Raw genomic sequence first — 18,736 nt, 5'->3', positions numbered from 1 at the left:
AAATCACTACAACAAAATATATGTATTCCCAAATATTGGAAACCCTATTCCAAAACCCCAAAAGTTCTAAAAATAGCAAAGAATACATACCAAATAATGAAAGAAACACAGTAAGTGTGGCACAGTGATGCAGTAGTTATAATAGGAAACAATATGACACAGCTGAGACCAACCCACATCAGATATAACAATTTATAAGTGGGCTCAGTTCACCCTTTAAAATAAAAGATTTTCAAATGTAGGCATAACGGAAACCCCAACTCTGAAAAAGCAGGTGCTGTGATTCTGATATCAAACAAAACAGAGTAGGCCAAAAAGCATTAAATGAGATGAAGAGGGACAATTTATAGCCCAAAACTTCCCTTCCTAAACACTTATCAATTGTATATCATTAGGATTTGATCTGCAAAGTAAAATCATTATTAGTTTGATGGAATAAGCGATGTATGATAGAGATTAAACTTTAGACAATGTTAGAGGTAGAAGAAAAAAGGTTATGGAAGTCTTTCCATTGTACATGGGGCAGGTCTGAAGTCACTGTAGTTTCTAGACCTGGGAATCAGAAGAATAGCTAGATGTGACATGGGGCATTTCAAAGACAAAGTCAAAACTGCAAGGACAAAATGTACCTCATGAGAACAACTAGAATTCATGAGGACAAACTGTAATGTACCTCCAGTGTTGATTATGGAAATAAAAAACAAAACACAACAAAAACCCACAGTGAGATACCACTTCATATCCATTAGGATAGCTATTATATAAAATTTTTTTTTTTTTTTTTGGTGGACACTTGCTCTGTCGCCGAGGCTAAAGTGCAGTGGCACAATCTCGGCTCACTGCAACCTCCACCTCCTGGGGTCAAGCCATTCTCCTGCCTCAGACTCCTAAGCAGCTGGGCCTACAGGCATGTACCACCATGCCCTGCTAATTTTTGTATTTCTAGTAGAGACAGGGTTTCACCATATTGGCCAGGCTGGTCGCAAACTCCTGACCTCATGATCCACCTGCCTCAGCCTCCCAAAGTGCTGGGATTACAGGTGTGAGCCACCGCGCCCAGCCTATAAAACATTTTTAAAATAAATAAATAAATAAATAACAAGTGTTGGTGAGGATGTAGAGAAATTGGAACCCTTACGCACTGCTGTTGAAAATGGTATAGTGGTTCCTCAAAAAATTAAATTTAGAACTACTATATGATCCAGCAATTCCATTTCTGGTTGTATACATAAAGGAATTGAAAGCAGCGACTCAAACGGATATTTGTATATCCACATTCATAGCAGTGTTATTTACAGTGGCCAAAGGGTGGGACAACACAAATATCTATCAACAGATAAATGGACAAGCAGAATGTGGTATATCCATGCAATGGAATATTATTCAGCCCTAAAAAAGAAGAAAATTCTAACACATACCAGAACATGGATGAACGTTGAGGACAATATGCTAGATGAAATGAGCGAGACACAAAAAGACAAATACCAAATGATTTCACTTATATGAGTTTCCTACAGTAACCAAAATCATAGAGGCAAAAAGTAAAATGGCAGTCACCAGGGGCTTGAGGAAGAGAGGAATTAGGAGTTCCCATTATTATTTATGAGTTCGGAGTTTCGGTTTGAGATGATAACATTCTGGAGATGGATGGTAAATGTACTTAATGGCACAGAATTATACACTTAAAATGGTTATGATGGTAAATTTAATGTGATGTATATTTCATCACAATTTGAAAAAACTACAAATGACAAGTTGGGAGAAATTATTTCCACAACATTATAGATAAAAAGGTAATATCTCTGACATATAAAGTACTTAACATTAAGGAAAAACCCCAAATCTCCTATAAAAAATGGCGAAAAGCATAAACAGACAATTCATAGTAAAGATCTACAAAGAGTCCATAAACATATGGAAAGACATTAAACTTTGCTCTTAATAGAGTTGTAAATTAAAACTACAAACATACTATTTATCCTCCCATCAAACCGGTAAAAAATCAAAAGTTTGACAAAACATTCTGTTGGCAAGACTACAAAAATAAATAAATAAATAAGGAAGACGTCCGTGAACACATATAGCGTAATATCCAGGATATTTTGTTAAATGAAAAAAGGAAGTTGCAATAGGGTATGTATCATCTGCTACTTTATCTGTAACAAAGAAGGGACTAGAAGAAAACATACATGTAAGTGTTATAGCTCTTTTAGAACTTGTGTAGAAGGTTTGCTGGTTTTCACTGGAAAGCACTCCATGCAGAAAAGAAAAGACACATGTATCTGCATATTTTGGCAAAACACACATACACACTCACATACACAATAGTGGTAAACCAGAAAACAATTGAGTTGGTTACCTAGAAGGGGTGGGAGGGAAAGGTAGAAGGGATAGGAGAAGAATTGATGCTTCTCTGAGTATACTGTTTTTCCAGGCTTAAATTTTGGAAACATGATAGTGTTCTCTATATTAAAAAAACAAAATAAAATCAAGAAAGCTGAGGGGAGAGGAATAAAAACTGAATCCAAACAGAAATATCTGAATCCAATTATATTATAAATGAATAATATAAAGCTTAAAAAAATATTCATAACTTTAAACAAAGTATGCCAGCTATGTGCTCTCAGCCTAGAACTGGAAAGAATTTTAAAGCCCTTTATTTTTTTCATAGTGTTATGGGTATAGCAATTGTATTATTTTATGCATGGTATGCAATTGAGCAAATCAGGAAATACATTGTTTTGGGGAGCTAGGCTTTTCACTATGGAAGAAGGGAGATACAGAATGGGATGGAAGAAGGCAAGAAAGATTCCTGTGGAGTAGATTTGTAATTAGAGATAGCGGTATGAACTCATTATTTCATACAGACACACACACACACACACACACACACACACACATCTATGCTCATATGTATGCATATTTAAACAAATATACATACATATTTCCTAGATCTGTCCACTTAAAGGGCCCCGATTAATAATATCCCAGTAGCAATGAGCACCCCTTGCACCCAGATCTTGGTTTCTAAATACCATTCTCCACTGTAAGAGTTCACTGGAGAAATTATTGATTCCAGGACTGGGGTTGAGAGGGTATTAAATGAGCCTGGAGCATCTTGTTGTACTAGAAAGTAAGGAAGGGCAGAAAGAGCGAGAGAGAGAGAAAGAGAGAAGCAGAGGAGAGAGAGAGCACAATGTTAAAAGGACATAGGAGCCAGCTTGAAGGGGCCCCACTGGCTAAATCTAAGACCATATATGCATCAAAATAAACACTGAATAAAGTAGAAATCTAGGCATACACAATGATAATAAATAAATGGACAAAAGGAGAACTCTTTGAGTAGAATGCCAACTGATAGACATTCAGGGAAGAGTGGATCACCATCTTACAACCATCGCAGTAAAGGTTTGTTTGGAGAAGACACCTGAATGGATGCTGAAGTGGTTAGGGGAGGAAGAGTTTGATGAAAAGGAGGAGATTTACAAGGTCTTCAAATGTCTTTCAACAGACATTTCTTAGTTGGATAATAGACATATTATTCACTGCTGGGTGGGGGTGGTGGTGGTGAGGGGATGGGGGATTTAGTAGCTGGTGGAGAAATAGGCAGCACCTTGGCCAGGTGACCAAAACTAGCATCACTTATGAGGGTCAGATGGATATCCTGAGTCTGCGGAGAGACTCTGAGAAGGTGACAGCATCATGGTTTTTGTATTCTGGCCAAGGATGTATATAAACAAGGGTTGAGCAAATTCAAGAAGGAAATTGAAAATAATGACAAAAACTATCCCAGAAACAAAGAATAATTACAAGGTGTCCAAGGGAGAATATATTCAAATGAAAATATGTATTCTGGCCAAGGATGTGAATAAATATCAGGAAAAAAATGGGGAACATTCTGTAAAGTAAGTGGTTTGTATTCTTCAGAAATGTCACTTTGGCTATTGTGAAAGACAAAGAAAGAGTAAGGAAATGTCCCAGATTAATGGACCTGAAGAGACATGATATCTAAATGCAATAAAGCCCCTGTAGTGGAAAGTAAAAATACTATGGAGAACATGAGTAGGACAATGAATAAAACAGGACTACGGACTATAGCATAGTCTGATATACCATGGTACACTATGGTAAATAGTATAATGTCCAATTTTCTGATTTTGCTAACTGTACTATAGTTGCTTAGAAGAATGTTAGGAAATATGATATTTGTTAGGAAATATAAACTAAAGTATCAAGGGTTAAGGGGGCATGACATACACGAGCTGCTTTCAAAAGATTCAAGAAAAATATAGAGAGAGAATGATAAAAAAAAGTGGCAAAATATTTTAAAATGGCGAGTCTGGGTAAAGGACATAGGTGAATTCTCTGCACTATTTTTGCAACTTTTTTGGTAAGTTTGAAATCGTTTTCTTTAAAAGTGGTTTTACATGCAATATGGTGACCCTGAAGTTTCATTCTGCTGATTAGATAAAAGGCAGAAACCTAAAAACATTCCATTGCAACAACCCCACAGCCCAAGCGTCTAAAAGATACTACAACTTGCTTCCCTAGACGGCTGGCATATAAACACCCGCTCCTTGTCTTTCTTCTACCTTCATTTACTTTCCTAACACATCTCCACAGACACTTTCAAACACTTGTGCATGACTTCTAGTGTTTACAGGTAAGGTAATGAGTAGGAAACTCTATATACATTGACTTGCCTTTTGTCAGCCCCTAGTACTGTTCAGCACCGTGGCTGTCATTTATCAATGTAACATTTTCATGCCAGAAGCCCTTAGGGCTTTTTCCTGACTGTATAGTACAGTAAGAATAGCTACATATTTGTAGCAGCACATAAATACAGCTTCAGCGTTTCTGCTGCCAATTCACTGTACCAGTTACTGTTGTCAGAGTTGTCGGGAGCCCTGTACAATTTAATGATACATTGTGACTTTGCACAATAGAACCTTTCTTATAATCTGATTGTCCAATTTCCTTTTTTCTAAAATACTTTAAAGGGGGACAATACCCAATCAGGAGAAAAGGAGAAACAAAATTATGACTGCTTAAAAGGAACAAAATATTAAACACTGAAATTGGATAATGGGAACTCGTTCGCACGCCCCTCCCACCAAACTGAAAGCACATTTCTATGGAGGTTATTATAAAAAGAAGATATGGAAGAGCTTGCCCAGGCCCTGTCATACTCCCAGGACCCACAATGGGCTGTCTTTAATGAGAGGGGACACTTTGAAGTACTACAGTTCTATCCTCAGTGAGCAGCTCTTAGTGACACTAAGCTCAAAATCCCCACACCCCGGGGACAGTGTTAACCACCTGCTGCTGTCTTCCCAGAAATTGCTTGGCTTGAATTGTGACTGAGAAATAGTTTATCAAATGTGATTTAGGTTAAAGGAATCGATTGCCCTGAACATATAAACATTAATGATGTGCTTACCATATGCCAGGCACTGTTTGTGTATTATTTTATTAAATCTTCGCAACAGTCCTATCAAGTAAATGCTCTCACTATTTCAGTTTTATAGCAGGGTGCTGTTAAGTGCCTTGCCCAAGGCAGCTCAGCGAGTAGCAGAGTCAGGGAGACTGAGTCACTAGGAGGCACTTGGCACACTTGCCGGTGGGGGAAAGGAATCTTCCCATTAGGCAGGACAGCAGCTATCTGGAGAGGGTGGGGCAGGAAAGCGACCGAGCACAGCATCACGGGGGCTTAGGGGATCCTGGGGACATTCTGCTGAAAGGCAGTCTTCTTGTTCCCACCTTCCCCGCTGTGTAACCCTCTCATCTCAGGCTCCCAGGGAATATGTCGCCGTGCCGCCAGCCAGCACTCATAGCACTACGGCCTCTGCTGATGCTTCACCAGCCCAGGCTGCCCCTGAGTGAGCCTGAGAGTTGGGCCTAGGAAGGAGGAGGCCAGTGTCAGGAGTGCTAGGAAAGGAGACTCATGGTTAAAGACGCCCCCATAGCCCCAGACTTAAGGACATACGTGTACTTTAGTGAGAAGTTCTACTTACTCTGTCAGCCATAGGGGCTACGGGCACCTTGCCCTGTCCACATTCCACATAGATGATCTCCAGCCAGTGCTTTTCGTTCGTGTACACTCTTGTATCAGAGCCCTTTCCTCCCTTCGTCCTGGGGAAAGGAGCCAGCGGAATCCTCCTAGCCCCGGACGACACTTACCTAACCCCAGCAATGCCCCTTCCCATTTCCTACCCCTCCTGCCTGTGGTTGCTACCTTCCTTTAGGGTAAGCTTCTTCTCAAGACGCCCCGCAGCTCCTCCGGTAGCCAGTTCCTTGTGTGCCTGCCCCTGCCCCCAGGCAGATCCGGGCTCTTGGGTGAACTTATCTCTGGCTCAACTTAGACTCCTGCAGGTAGTTTACAAAGCACTTTCACATGCACGACCTCAAGGTCTCATGAGGTGCATATTACTCTGCTCATCTTAGAGGATGACAAACTGAGGCTCAGAAAAGTCAGGCAACTTGTCCAAAACCATCCATGTAATTAGCCAATGGCAGCACCAAACACAGACCCAGCCAGTCATCTCCCTTCAAGTTCACAGTCTCTCTCCACCGTCCCCCACCTTCAGCTGCAGAGTCCCCAAGACTGGTCCCACCGCACATAGATGTTCTGAGAAAGTCTCTCGTTTATTTATAGTTTATACTCCACTCACTTCCAAAGATAATTGGAGACATTTTACAGAAACCCACAAACACATATACATAAGATGTGCAGAGCTGTGTAGGCAGACCACGTAACTCATGAGGGATTTTCCATTCCCCCCTCCCCCTGCCAGATTGCAGATCTTGGAGAGCTTTTTAAAAATAAAATTTCTCGAGATTCCCATCCCAGACCTACTGAATCAGAACTGCCAAGAGTGGAGCTGACTAGTGTATAGTGTTTCCATTTGCCAATGCAAGTAGACAAAGGAGAGTAGAAACAGGGATTTTAGAAAGAGACAGAGCAAGCATACATTGTGGAGCTGTGGGGTTAAAAACTCTAACAGGTATGTAGGGCTCATGGCAACCCTCAGAGTCCCAAAGCAACATCTCCCTGGTCCCACTTGATGATGGACCTGGTCTACCCTAGAAACAGCCCATTCTGGGGGCCTGAACATCCCTTTGTCATCCCAGAACCAGAGAATGCAACTATCTTATGTGAACTGTACATCTTGACTATACCTATAAATCCTAATGGATCTGTAGGGAACTAGGACCACAATTCCACTTTGGAAAGCAAAGTCATTGTCTGATCAAAAGGCAAGCTTTTCTAATTTAAGAATAAATGAAGGGGTATTAGATTATATTTTGGAGTTATTATTAATTTTTTAGCTGTGATATTGCTATTGTGGTTACTTAGAAAAATGTCCTCATTCTTAGGAGCTGTGTGCTGGAGTATTTATGGGTAAAGTTCTTGATGTCTACAACTTAATTTCAAATGACCTAGCAATGAAAGTATTTATATTGTAGAGAGTTATACAAATATAGGCATAGATATAGCAAGAGATAAAAACAAATGTGGGAAAACACTCATTGTTGGATCCAGGTAGAGAGCATAATGGGGTTATTATTCTGTTCTTTCAACTTGTATCTGTAACTTAAACTTTTCAAAATGAAAAGCTGGGAGAAAAAGAAAAATAAAGGCACATGAGGAAAATCTGGTGAATAATTGCATTGAAAATCATAACAATTTTTATAGAAGAAAAGAAAAACCCAGACATTGTAGCCAGACAGAAACATCTGGCATGCTCAGCAGGCTGTCAATCAATCAGTTATTCAACAATTATTCAACAGGTGTTTATTACAGGTCTGTGCTGGGCCTAGGACTTCTACAAACAGTGAGAAAAAAAAATGAAAATGTACACTATGGGTTCCTGTCCTTGAGCTGCTAATGATTAAATTTAGCTCCATGAAGATTTTTTGTCCTGGATATAATTCACTAGGAGGTTTTTTTAAAGCACCCCAAATTATAGCTCCGTTAGCAAGCAGGTTTCTTTACCAGGCAGATTATCTTTGTTAGAAACTTCTGAACCAGGAAGAGAAATGATATGGGACTCTTCAGGATGTCGGAAAAGAGAGGTTTTTACTAAGAAAAGTCCTTAAATCAGATCCCAAATAGAGCAACATAAAATGGTGCATTTGGAAGTCCTAGGGAGGGGACGGGAGGGCAGAATTAGGTCATTGTTAAGGATGAATGCTTGACCTTTGCAGAGGTAAGTGATAGAGGAGAGCCCTGGAGAGAAGGGGGCTCAAAAGAGGGGCTGGATGAGTCTGTAGACATGATGACGATGGGCCATGAGAAAGGGATCCCACCATAGCTTGTCCTCTTCAAGAACCAGGCAGTGAGCTGGAAAGACAATGGGAAAGTCTCCATGAATCACCTCCTCCTGAGGGAGGCTAGGCCAGCTACAGGTCAGATTGACCAGCCTAATTGAAACATCAGGGGCATTTTTGCTTAAGAAGGTGTGGGGAGGGAGAACATTTCTCCCATGTAGGTAATTGACAAGTCCTCAACAATTTATGAAACAACTGGAGATAAAAGGTTGAAAGTATAAATGCCCATTGAGATAACAATCACCGATTCCACAAATATTTATTGAGTATTTACGTTTTGCCAAGCTCTATTCTAGATTACTGGAGTGCACGGATGAAGAAGGTGAAGAACATCTCTGCCTTCAGAAAAATCTCACACCTTCTAAGAGTGAGTGCAGTGCACACAGTCCAGAGGGAGTCAGTTTCAATGCATCCATGAAGATAAAGGGCAGTCTCCTAGGTCTATCCACTCTGCAGGAGGTTGGCGAGGTGGGGAGGTGGAGATGTGCGCTTTTCAGGGGCCTGACAATGGTGCTGCGGAAGCTCAAGTTGGAAATGAGGAGGCTCTGCATGCCAAGAGCAAACTTCTCAGACTGCAGATTCTCCCCAAGACGGGTCTCGTTAACTTCAGAATCGGTAGAGACAAACAGAAACTGTGCATTGAAATATTTCTGACATGCAGCTGTAAGCTGGCAGCTCTGCTTAGAATGACTTATGAAGATGTTTTGTTTTTATTTTTGAGCATAGTCGATTTTGAATAAATGAGCCTTGTTCCCAAGGAATTTCTAATCAACGTATCACTGTATAAACCAGCCTTTACCCTCAAGGAACTTATTCCCTTGTTTGACAAACAGAGCACGCACATGTGAAATAGATAGTAAGGCAATAAATAAAGTGGCAAATGCTGGATATGGACACTTAAGAGGTTAACAGAAAATTTTAAATGTAATATATATGGCGGGGAGCAAGTCTAGTTGCTATCAAAATCTCTTGGGGATTTCCAAATGATAAAAGGTTTATTGTCCTTAATCTCCTGCTGCATTAATCCAACTTTTAAATCAGGAGCTGCCCTCAATTGTTGTGGGGAGAAGTCAGAGAATGGACCCATCGGTGTGGGCTGGAGTTCCAAGGAAGGGTCGAGGGGAGGGTTTGAGTTGGGCTTTGGAGGATGGGTATGGTTCAGACATGAGGGTGAGCATTCTGGGAGGCGTTCTCGACCGCAGACAGCTGTGGTGGAGGAGGATAGGCCCTGGATCTGAGAGCTTGGCTCTCAGGCTGCTATACCTGAACTTGATCCAACAGCTGACAGAGGGGTGGTGGGTTTTTTAGAGCAAGGGAGTGGTAGGATAAAAGCAACATTTTAAAAGATTAATAGGTGATTTCAGGACCTGTTGGGGTAAGGGGACGAGTCCATGCTCTGCAGCTGGATGGGGTGGGGCAGATCTGAGCTCCAGTCAGGTCTCTGAGGGAGCAGGGAGGAATCAAACAAGAGCTGGCTGGGAAGCAGCAGCAGCTGGACTTGAGTGGGAAGGTTTAGGCAGGAAAGGAGACTCATGGTTAAAGACGCCCCCATAGCCCCAGACTTAAGGAAATGGGTGGACTTTAGTGAGAAGTTCTATTTATTCCATCAGCCATTCTCTATTAGGCGCTTGCTTTGTGCCAGGCACTGTTCTAGAAACTTGGGTTACATCAGGGAACAAAACAGACTTAGACTGGGTGCGGTGGCTCACGCCTGTAATCCCAACACTTTGGGAGGCCAAGGCAGGTGGATCACCTGAGGTCAGGAGTTCAAGGCCAGCCTGGCCAACATGCTGAAACCCTATCTCTACTAAAAATACAAAAAAAAAAAAAAAAAATAGCCGGGTGTTGTGGTACACCCCTGTAATCCCAGCTACTCAGGAGGCTGAGGCACGAGAATCACTTGAACCTGGGAGGTGGAAGTTGTAGTGAGCTGAGATTGTGCCTTGGTACTACAGCCTGGGTGAGAGGGTGGACTCTGTCTCAAAAAAAACCAGGCCGGGCACAGTGGCTGATGCCTGTAATTCCCAGCACTTTGGGAGGCCGAGGTGGGTGGATCACCTGAGGTTGGGAGTTCGAGACCAGCCTGACCAATATGGAGAAACCCCGTCTCTACTAAAAATACAAAATTAGCCGGGCATGGTGGCACATGCCTGTGATCCCAGCTACTCAGGAGGCTGAGGCAGGAGAATCGTTTGAACCTGGGAGGCTAAGGTTGCAGTGAGCCGAGATCACACCACTGCACTCCAGCCTGGGCAACAAGAGCGAAACTCTGTCTCCAAAAACAAAACAAAACAAACAAAAAAAAACCAGACTTAGGTCCCTGCCCTCCTGGGGTTCCTACTGTAGTGCAGTGGTGGATGGGGAAGGGAGGGACTGGCAGTAAGCATTCAACACAATGAGTAGGTAGAGTAAATACAAATTGGCCCTTGAACCACATGAGGTCTACTCATATGTGGATCTTCTGCCACCCTTGAGACAGCAAGAAGAACTCCTCTTTTCCTCCTTTACTTCAGCCTACTCAACATGAAGACAATGAGAATGAAGACCTTTATGATCATCCATTTCCAATTAATGAATAGGAAATGTATTTTCTCTTCCTCATGATTTTCTTAATAATTTCTTTTCTCCGGCTTACTGTATTGTATGGACACAGTATTTAAGACATATACACAGTATGTGGTAATTGTTTATGTTATCAGTAAGTCTTCTAGTCAACAGTAGGCTATTAGTAGGTAAGTCTTGGGGGAGTCAAAAGTTATACGTGGATTTTTGACCACGAAGGGGGTCAGTGCCCTAACCCCCATGTTGTTCAAGGGTCCCCTGTAGTGTGTTAGAAGGTCACATGTACACTGCACACAAGGACAGGTGGAGCAGGGAAGGGGAGAGTGACAGTGAGTGCGGACTCAGTGGCCACCCTGGATATGGTGAGCAGGGGTTATCTGAGCCCAGACTAGAGGGAGGTGAGAGAATCAGCCAAGCAGGCACCTGGGAGAAGGGCCTTCCATGCAGGAGCTAAAGCAGTCAGGCGAAGTCTCTGAGGCAGAGCTTGTCCAGCCTGCATGGTGAATTGAGAATAAGAAGGAAGAGGTCGGAGCTGGGTCAGAAGGTCACAGTGAGTTGGAGAATGTAGGATCCTGCAGGGTGCTTTCAGGATTAGCTTCTACTCTGAGTGGAGGGTTTTGGGCAGAAGAGCAAACACATCTGATGCTGGCTGCTGTGTTGAGTTTGATTACACAAGGCAGGGGCAGAAGCAGTCTTTCCGACCTTTTGGGAAACTCTTCCGCTTGCTGGTGCTGAGACCAGTGTGGGAGCAAGCAGAAGAGAAGAGCCAGCAGTGAGGGTGGAACCAGCAGTATTTCCTGATGGGTGGGAGGTAGGGTTTGGGAGAAAGAAGGAGGTAAGTTTGGTTCCAAGATTTTTCCCTGAGCAATGAAAAGTTGGTGGCTGCTCTCAGCTATATTACTTGTTCACAATTCCGGAGACTGGAAGTTCAAGATTGAGGTGTCAGCAGGGTTGGTTTCTCCTGAGGTCTCTCTCCTTGGCTTGCAGATGGCCATCTTCTCTCTGTGTCCTCACATGGTCCTCCCTTGGAGTGCATCTTTGTCCCGGGCTTCTCTTCTTGTAAGGACAGCATTCATATTGCAGTAGGGCCCTCCCTAATGAGCTCATTCTATTCTAACTTGCTTACCTCTTTAGAGGTCCTATCTTCAAATACAGTTGCATTCTGAGGTCCTGGAGGTTAGGACTGCAACATGTGAATTTTTAGAGGGAGACGGTTCAGCCCATAATACAGAGAGATGAGATTAGATCAGATTTCTTCCTGACATGGTAAAGTTAGAGGCAGAATAAAGCTGCAGTGAAGGTGGGGCAGGTGCCGTTAGCTAAAGCTTCCCAGCAAATTAAAGGTGAGATTGGAGGCAGCCATGATTAGAGGTACAAGAAACAGAACTCCCCAGCTTAAGCAAAATAGGGCAAGTACAGGAAAGTTGGTCAGGTTCCAAAGGGCTGGTTCCCAGAACTGGGATCTCCACAAGAACCAGGTTCCCACGCGGCCTCTCAGAGCCTCCCGATCTCTTTCCCTTGGCTTCATGGCCATCTAAAACATCTGGCTTTCTCCACTGCAGCCCTGACAAGGTCAACCTTGGCCCTCCCAGGCCTGGTCTCAGGTGGCTTCTCACTCTCACCACCTAAAAGATTTTAGGAATGATCCCTGAGGCTCAACTACAGAATCCTAGGAATTGAAAATCTGCTTGGCGGAATCAAGGAAAATGCCTACCCTGCTTCAAATAGTGAAGGCTGGGGGAGGTCAGTGGGGGACTGAATGAGAGAGCCGTGGAATGCAAATATGGCAGAAGGGCCCATTCTAGATGCACTGCTGGAAGGTGAGGGCTGGGGTGAGTAGAACAGAGCAGAGTTGGGAGCTTGAAGAGAGAGCCAGAAATCTCCACACAGAGAGCCAGTCCTTTCTCCTCCACAGAGAGCCAGTCCCTGTGGACATAAGCCGAGGGCTCAGGAGAGATGAGAGAAAACAAAGCCAGGGTCTGAATGGCTATAGGAGTATGAGAAGCAGAGGCACAAAAAAGAGAAAGTGAAAGTTCTATTGACAAGACAATTTAGACCAGGTAATGTTTTATCCAGTGCAATTACACAGAATGAGGCAGAACAATAGAGAAATAAGTGAGGTCTCAGACACTTTCAAGGGGCTGATGGAAATAATTTATTTTGGTATCGTTTCTTTCATGTTCTTAGAATATATTGGGCACTTCAGGCAACTTACTATAGAGTGTAAAATATATATTATATATATAACTGCAGAGTATATGTCTATCAAGTGGTTCAGCCCAAATGCAGAAACCAATTTGCTACAGAATGAAATGAATCTGCCCAAAGTTGGGGAATATTTAGAAATATTTTTAAGATATTTAAAAGTCGATATTTTAAAAATATTTAAAATATTTAAAAGTTGATATCAAAGTTGATATTTTAAAAGTATCAACTTTGGTTTTTTGTTGTTGTTGTCATTTTTTTTTTTTTTTTTGAGACAGAGTCTGGCTCTATTACCCAGGCTGGAGTACAGTAGAATAATCAGGGCTTACTGCAGCTTCAGCCTCCCAGGCTCAAGCCATCCTCTCATCTCAGCCTCCTAAGTGGCTGGGACCACAGACACACACCACTGCACCTGGCTATTTTTTTTTTTTTTTTTTTTGTAGAGATGAGGGTCTCACCATGTTGCCCAGGCTGGTCTGGAATTCCTGGGCTTAAGCAATCCTCCCACCTTGGCTTCCCAAAATGCTGGGATTATGGGTGTGAGTGACAGCACCTGGCCTCAGCTTTGGTTTTGATGACTGACATTTAACAGATGAGACTAGTCTTGCCACCTTCTTTGCCTCTCTCACCCATCAAAGGCAAAGAGCTACCTGTGACAAACGGTATCACAGCAGGCGTGTCGTACTCTCTTGGGATCTGAGCTTGCTTTTCTCTAACATGGACATCACAATGCCTATCCTGCCTATCTCTCCAGGTGACATAGGAGGGGCTCACCTGAAACACAGTGTATGCAAAGACTTTTCAAAGAGCAGAGTGAACGTATCCCCTAGGGTATGTGTGACATTCTCCTGTAGTTTGTTCTACAATGGTGGCAGGCAACTGTGGTGGTGGTGGACAGGGGTGGGTGGTCCTCTTTTATAGGCTGAGTCCCAAATACAGGCTTTGCACTAGGTGTCACTGCAGTGGAGGCAGGCTGGCTGTCAGCCCAGACCTGTTGGGGACTTGTCATGTCACATGTGATTCAACAACAACTGCAAGTGATGTTGACAGAGCTGGTCCAGATGCTGAATGCTGCAGTGCAGACAGTTTGATAAACGACTCGTGAAACACCATCTTCTATGCCTCTCCCTCATTACTTCATTCAGATATGTATTCAGGGACTTCTAGTCTTATTACTTTGTCCTCTGGACTTTGGTGCCACATTCTCAAGAAGGTGGCATAGCTCATTGTCATCAAGGGTTAAAAAATTAAATTCATTCTTTCATTTAATAAACAGTAGATTTTATTGCCCCCCTTCCTATCTATTTGCTTATTTTTCATGTCTTTGTCCCTGGCACCACAAGGTAAAATATGGTAAATCTGCAATCCTATGAGAAAAGCCCTAGACATCGGACCTCATTCTCTTGTGAATAACACCAGGGTACTCGCTCTCAGTTCAGCACAGCAGCTCTCTAGTAGAAGCTGCTGAAAGCCTCTGTATCAAGTAGGGAGCTCTGGTTGCAAGCCCAATTGCAAGTGCCTCATCTTGCTCATGGACCTGGAAAGTCTAGGTATGATGCTTTATTGTATTAAATACATTTGTCATTCTTGACTGCTCAAAATTGCTTAAACATCCTCTCCACATTTCTGGTCATTCCCCACATTGTAAATTCCTCCTTTCCAATGAAAAGACCCAGTCCCTCTTGCTGCTGGGGAAATAGATTCTATCACTCAGTTGCACTCTCCTATAACTTCTATTGGGAAGTAGGGTGACCAACCATTCTGGTTTGCCTGGCACTGAGGGAGTCTTGAATGTGAGACTTTCTGTGCTAAAATTGGCAAAGTCCTGGGTAACCTGAGCTGAGTTGATCACTCTATTTGAAGCCAGCTATAAAAGACAAGGGCCAGGGGCATCCATTGCGTTGGCCCAAGCAGAGGCTGCTCAGGTTGATGGCAGCAACAGTTTCCATTTCACATCAGTTCTGCAAAGAAGAGCTGGAAGCTGTCCCTGTAAATGCAGCCCAGAGACTACTTCCCACCATTCTCTGAGCCTCTGAATAGTCTTTATTGTATTACAGGCTTTAAACTACCTAAAGGGAGCTCTGTTGACTGACAAGACAGGCGGACTTCAGGTGTAGTTGGTCAGTGGCTTGGAGGTTCAGTGATGTCCTAGAAGGCTGTGTCTGCCTCTCTAGTCTTCTGTCCAGCTCAGGTGGCTCCTCTTGTGGTTTTTGGATGCCTGCCATGTACAACAAGGGCCATAACCTTTCCTCACTGATATCCAGTGGAAGAGAGAGAGTGCTTCTGGGTCATAATTCCAAGCAGACCCCAGAAATTTACCCTGATTGCACGGACTTAAGTCATACTTGTTTTAAAGTGTAGGCTTTATTATTATTCAGGTATGATGAGGCCAACAGGTCATGCAATGACCACCACTGAAAAGATAGTTTGTTACTCACAGTTCCTGAGATGAAGCAATCCCTGCTGGTGCAGGCGGAAACACCAAATTGGATCTCAGGGCAATGGGAGAGAGGGAAAAGCATGACCAGGACCCTTTACTGTGGTTTCCACAGGAAAGGTTAGGCAAGGCACAGTAAGCAGGCTTAGGACTGGCTAGTATGAATAATTTCAATGGGCTCTGGAGTGTAGGGGCTGGCCCAGGTTGGCTGTACCAGGCCCTGGGATGATTTAAGGCACAGGAATATTGCTTCCTGGAGTGCAAGAGCCAGATAGGAGAGGTGGCTCAGAGTATGAGCTCTGGATTTGTTAGTTTGCCTATGAAAGACCTGGGTGGACCTTTTGCTACTCTATCTCTGAGCCCTGGAAGAGGCAGTCTCTCTCCAGTCAGTGAGGACCTAGATGTCAGAGCATCAAGAATACAGAAAATAAGAAAATACAATTAATATAGTACTCTCACCAAAATAATGAAATGGCCAGAGGAATGGACAGTGCTGACTGGCTTAAGGTCAGTCAAGCATTTCCAAAAGTGCTTAGCCTGTGATGGAAAGAGGTAGATGCCAGAATTAAAATTGGTTTTCTGTTAGGCAATGGAGAGGTGGAAGGAAACAGACACTGGTGAGATCACAGTGAATGTCATGACATACATCTTGCTTTTACTATCTGTAAAACCTTAAGGTTTCGCTCAAAGATGACCACTAGCATAAAGCCTTCTGCAGACCCAGCCCACAGAAACTCTCTCCACTAAGTGTTGCTCTACTATTGAGTACACCATGCACACATAGATCCCATATCTTATTACATGGTAATGACTCTTGTACCCATCCGTCACTCCTACTATCCTGTAAGGTCATGAAGGGCTAAAGCCCTGCCTCATACATCTCTCTCTTGTTCTCCAGCAAACTATGGTTGCATGCAACCTCATACCCAGCATCACAGGCATTGCAGACAGCGTTACTGAATGACCAGTCCTTGATTTCAGGGTGTTTAAAGCCTTGCCTAACCAGGAACTCTGTTCTGTAAGAACTTGGACTACAAAAATACAAACATCTCCGTCTCTTCTTCTTTTCTTCTTCGTCTTCCTCTTTCTCCTTCTCCCCCTCCTTCTTTGTCAGTTGCACAGTGCTGAGGACTCAGGCCTCCAGCTTTCTCCAAGTAATCTTCACCTTATTGTTGTATGTCTGTCCTCTCAAACCTCCTGTTGAAATTTGATCTCCGTGTTGGAGGTGGAGACCAATGGGAGGTGTTTGGGTCTTGGGGGCGGATCCCTCAGGAATGTCTTGGTGCCATCCTCGAGGTAATGAGTAAGTCCTTGCTGTATGAGTTCCCACAAAGCTGGTTGTAAAAAAGAGCCTGGCATCTCCCCCCGCACCTCTTGCGTTCTCTCTTGCCTTACGATCTCTGCACAGGCTGGCTGCCCCTCAGCTTCCATCATGAGTGGAAGCAGCCAGAGGCTTTCACCACATGCCTAATCTTCCAGTCGGCAGAATCACGAGCCAATTGAACCTATTTACTTTATAAATTACCCAGCCTCAGGTATGCCTTGATAGTAACACAAATGGTCTAAAACATCAACACGTTGGCCCACTCTTCTGTCCTTAAAGACCAGTCATCACGGAGCATCTTCCTCCCTGGAAGCAGATGCCATTACCTGCTTATTAAAGGCTGAGTGAGGTTAGGTAGGGGGATGGCCAAGACTGGCTTCTGATATGGAAAGAGGTTCTCCACTTGGATCAACAGAGCAAGCAGTTTGAAGTAGAAGTCATGGCTCATTATTCAAAGGCTTCTTCCCATCATGTTCTTTCATGTGGGGATGAGAATTGAGAAGATAACTTTTCTTCTTCAATCAAAGAGAGCTCACAGTTAAAGTACTGAAAGAGAAAACCTGTCATTTTGAAATGAGCAGGCCAGTTGTCTCAAAGGAAATTATCAGCATATTTCAAGAACAGCATTGTTAAAGCAGCCTTGAGAGCTCAAAAGCACGAGAAATCAAACACTGTAAGTTAAACAGAGGAGATCAATCAGATCCTAGTGCAGGGGGCTTGGAACTCAGAGACATCCGCAGCAGGCGTTTTCCTTGATTGTTTCTCAGCTTCCTTTGCAGCTGACATGATTACAGAGAGGCCCAGGTAGCAACTCCTCACCTGAGAAACGCGAGTGGATGCCCAGGAGGGAGGAGCTCCCGCAGTCCTCCCAATAACCTGAGAAAGCAGCACCATACCGGGAAACGGAACAGAAAGGTCCACACCCCAACTTTTCCCAAGAGTATTCTGTGGAGCACCTGAATCATGAGATGCTCTGTAATCAAATACGTTTGGGAAACGTTATACACTCTAAATCCCCTTACAGGTACATTAGAGATTTTGGCGTGTCAAAAGCCCTGAGAAGTCCTGCAATAGAAGAACCTGTTTAACTGCTGCTAAGCCCAGATTTCTCAAACATATTTGGCCAGACAATTTTCTTTTTTACTCCAGAAAACATCCTGTGGAACTAGCATTTCCTAGCACACAATTTAAGAAACACTGCCCTGCCTCATTTTCAGGTTTCAATTTGGCCACCACTTTCAGACTCTTCCCCTCCCAAGACTTTTTTTTTGAGATGGAATCTCACTCTGTCGCCCAGGCTGGAGTGCAGTGGTGCAATCTCAGCTCACTGCAAGCTCCGCCTCCTGGGTTCACGCCATTCTCCTGCCTCAGCCTCCCGAATAGCTGGGACTACAGACGCCCGCCACCATGCCCAGCTAATTTTTGCATTTTTAGTAGAGACGGGGTTTCACCGTGTTAGCCAGGATGGTCTCAATCTCCTGACCTCGTGATCTGCCCGCCTCGGCCTCCCAAAGTGCTGGGATTACAGGTGTGAGCCACCGCGCCCGGCCTCCTCCCAAGACTTTCTAACAGAACCACTGTAAAGTTTGAAAAGACCCTGCAAGTCAGGCCTCGCATTAAGGGAAAAGTCCAGCACTGTCTAGACAAGGGGTCAGAACAAGGCTACAGATGATCAGTGTGGGGTTCCCAGGGCATCATGGCCCAGACTCTGGTGGAAATGAGAGTGATTCGCAGGGACATGGCGGGAGAGAAGGCCTGACTGGTTGTGTAGACTGACAGCCCTCGATGGGGTGTGTGGGAAAGCCACAACTCTGTTCCCATGAGGGGCTCCGGAAACTCAAGTCACCTCAGGCAAATCTGGATAGAAGACAGTGGCA

The 18,736-nt window shown here is 43.7% G+C and overlaps 1 protein-coding gene and 1 non-coding gene across 2 annotated transcripts in view, besides 2 other annotated features; one reads left to right on the top strand and one right to left on the bottom strand.

Moving 5' to 3' along the window:
• Window positions 1–6,304, bottom strand: part of GALNT2 (polypeptide N-acetylgalactosaminyltransferase 2) — a 224,334-nt gene extending 218,030 nt beyond the window's left edge. Inside the window, exon 1 of the mRNA NM_001291866.2 lies at window positions 6,015–6,304. Within this exon, the coding sequence (NP_001278795.1) occupies window positions 6,015–6,026 (12 nt within the window). The 5' untranslated portion in view covers window positions 6,027–6,304. The remainder of the gene's footprint in view (window positions 1–6,014) is intronic.
• LOC124904748 (U7 small nuclear RNA) lies at window positions 2,194–2,255 on the top strand. The gene has a single exon (XR_007067307.1). It is a non-coding gene; the product is annotated as a U7 small nuclear RNA (small nuclear RNA).
• Window positions 5,317–5,817: an enhancer, noted in NCBI's record as "H3K4me1 hESC enhancer chr1:230194023-230194523 (GRCh37/hg19 assembly coordinates)". NCBI's record gives its function as "activates a minimal SCP1, AML or CMV promoter by ChIP-STARR-seq in primed H9 embryonic stem cells {active_cell/tissue: H9 hESC(primed)}" and the evidence as "EXISTENCE:reporter gene assay evidence [ECO:0000049][PMID:30033119]".
• Window positions 17,090–17,590: an enhancer, noted in NCBI's record as "H3K27ac-H3K4me1 hESC enhancer chr1:230182250-230182750 (GRCh37/hg19 assembly coordinates)". NCBI's record gives its function as "activates a minimal SCP1, AML or CMV promoter by ChIP-STARR-seq in naive H9 embryonic stem cells {active_cell/tissue: H9 hESC(naive)}" and the evidence as "EXISTENCE:reporter gene assay evidence [ECO:0000049][PMID:30033119]".

The sequence above is a fragment of the Homo sapiens genome, chromosome 1, assembly GCF_000001405.40.
Source record: "Homo sapiens chromosome 1, GRCh38.p14 Primary Assembly".
Lineage (NCBI taxonomy): Eukaryota > Metazoa > Chordata > Mammalia > Primates > Hominidae > Homo > Homo sapiens.
This window is presented reverse-complemented; position numbering and strand designations above follow the sequence as displayed.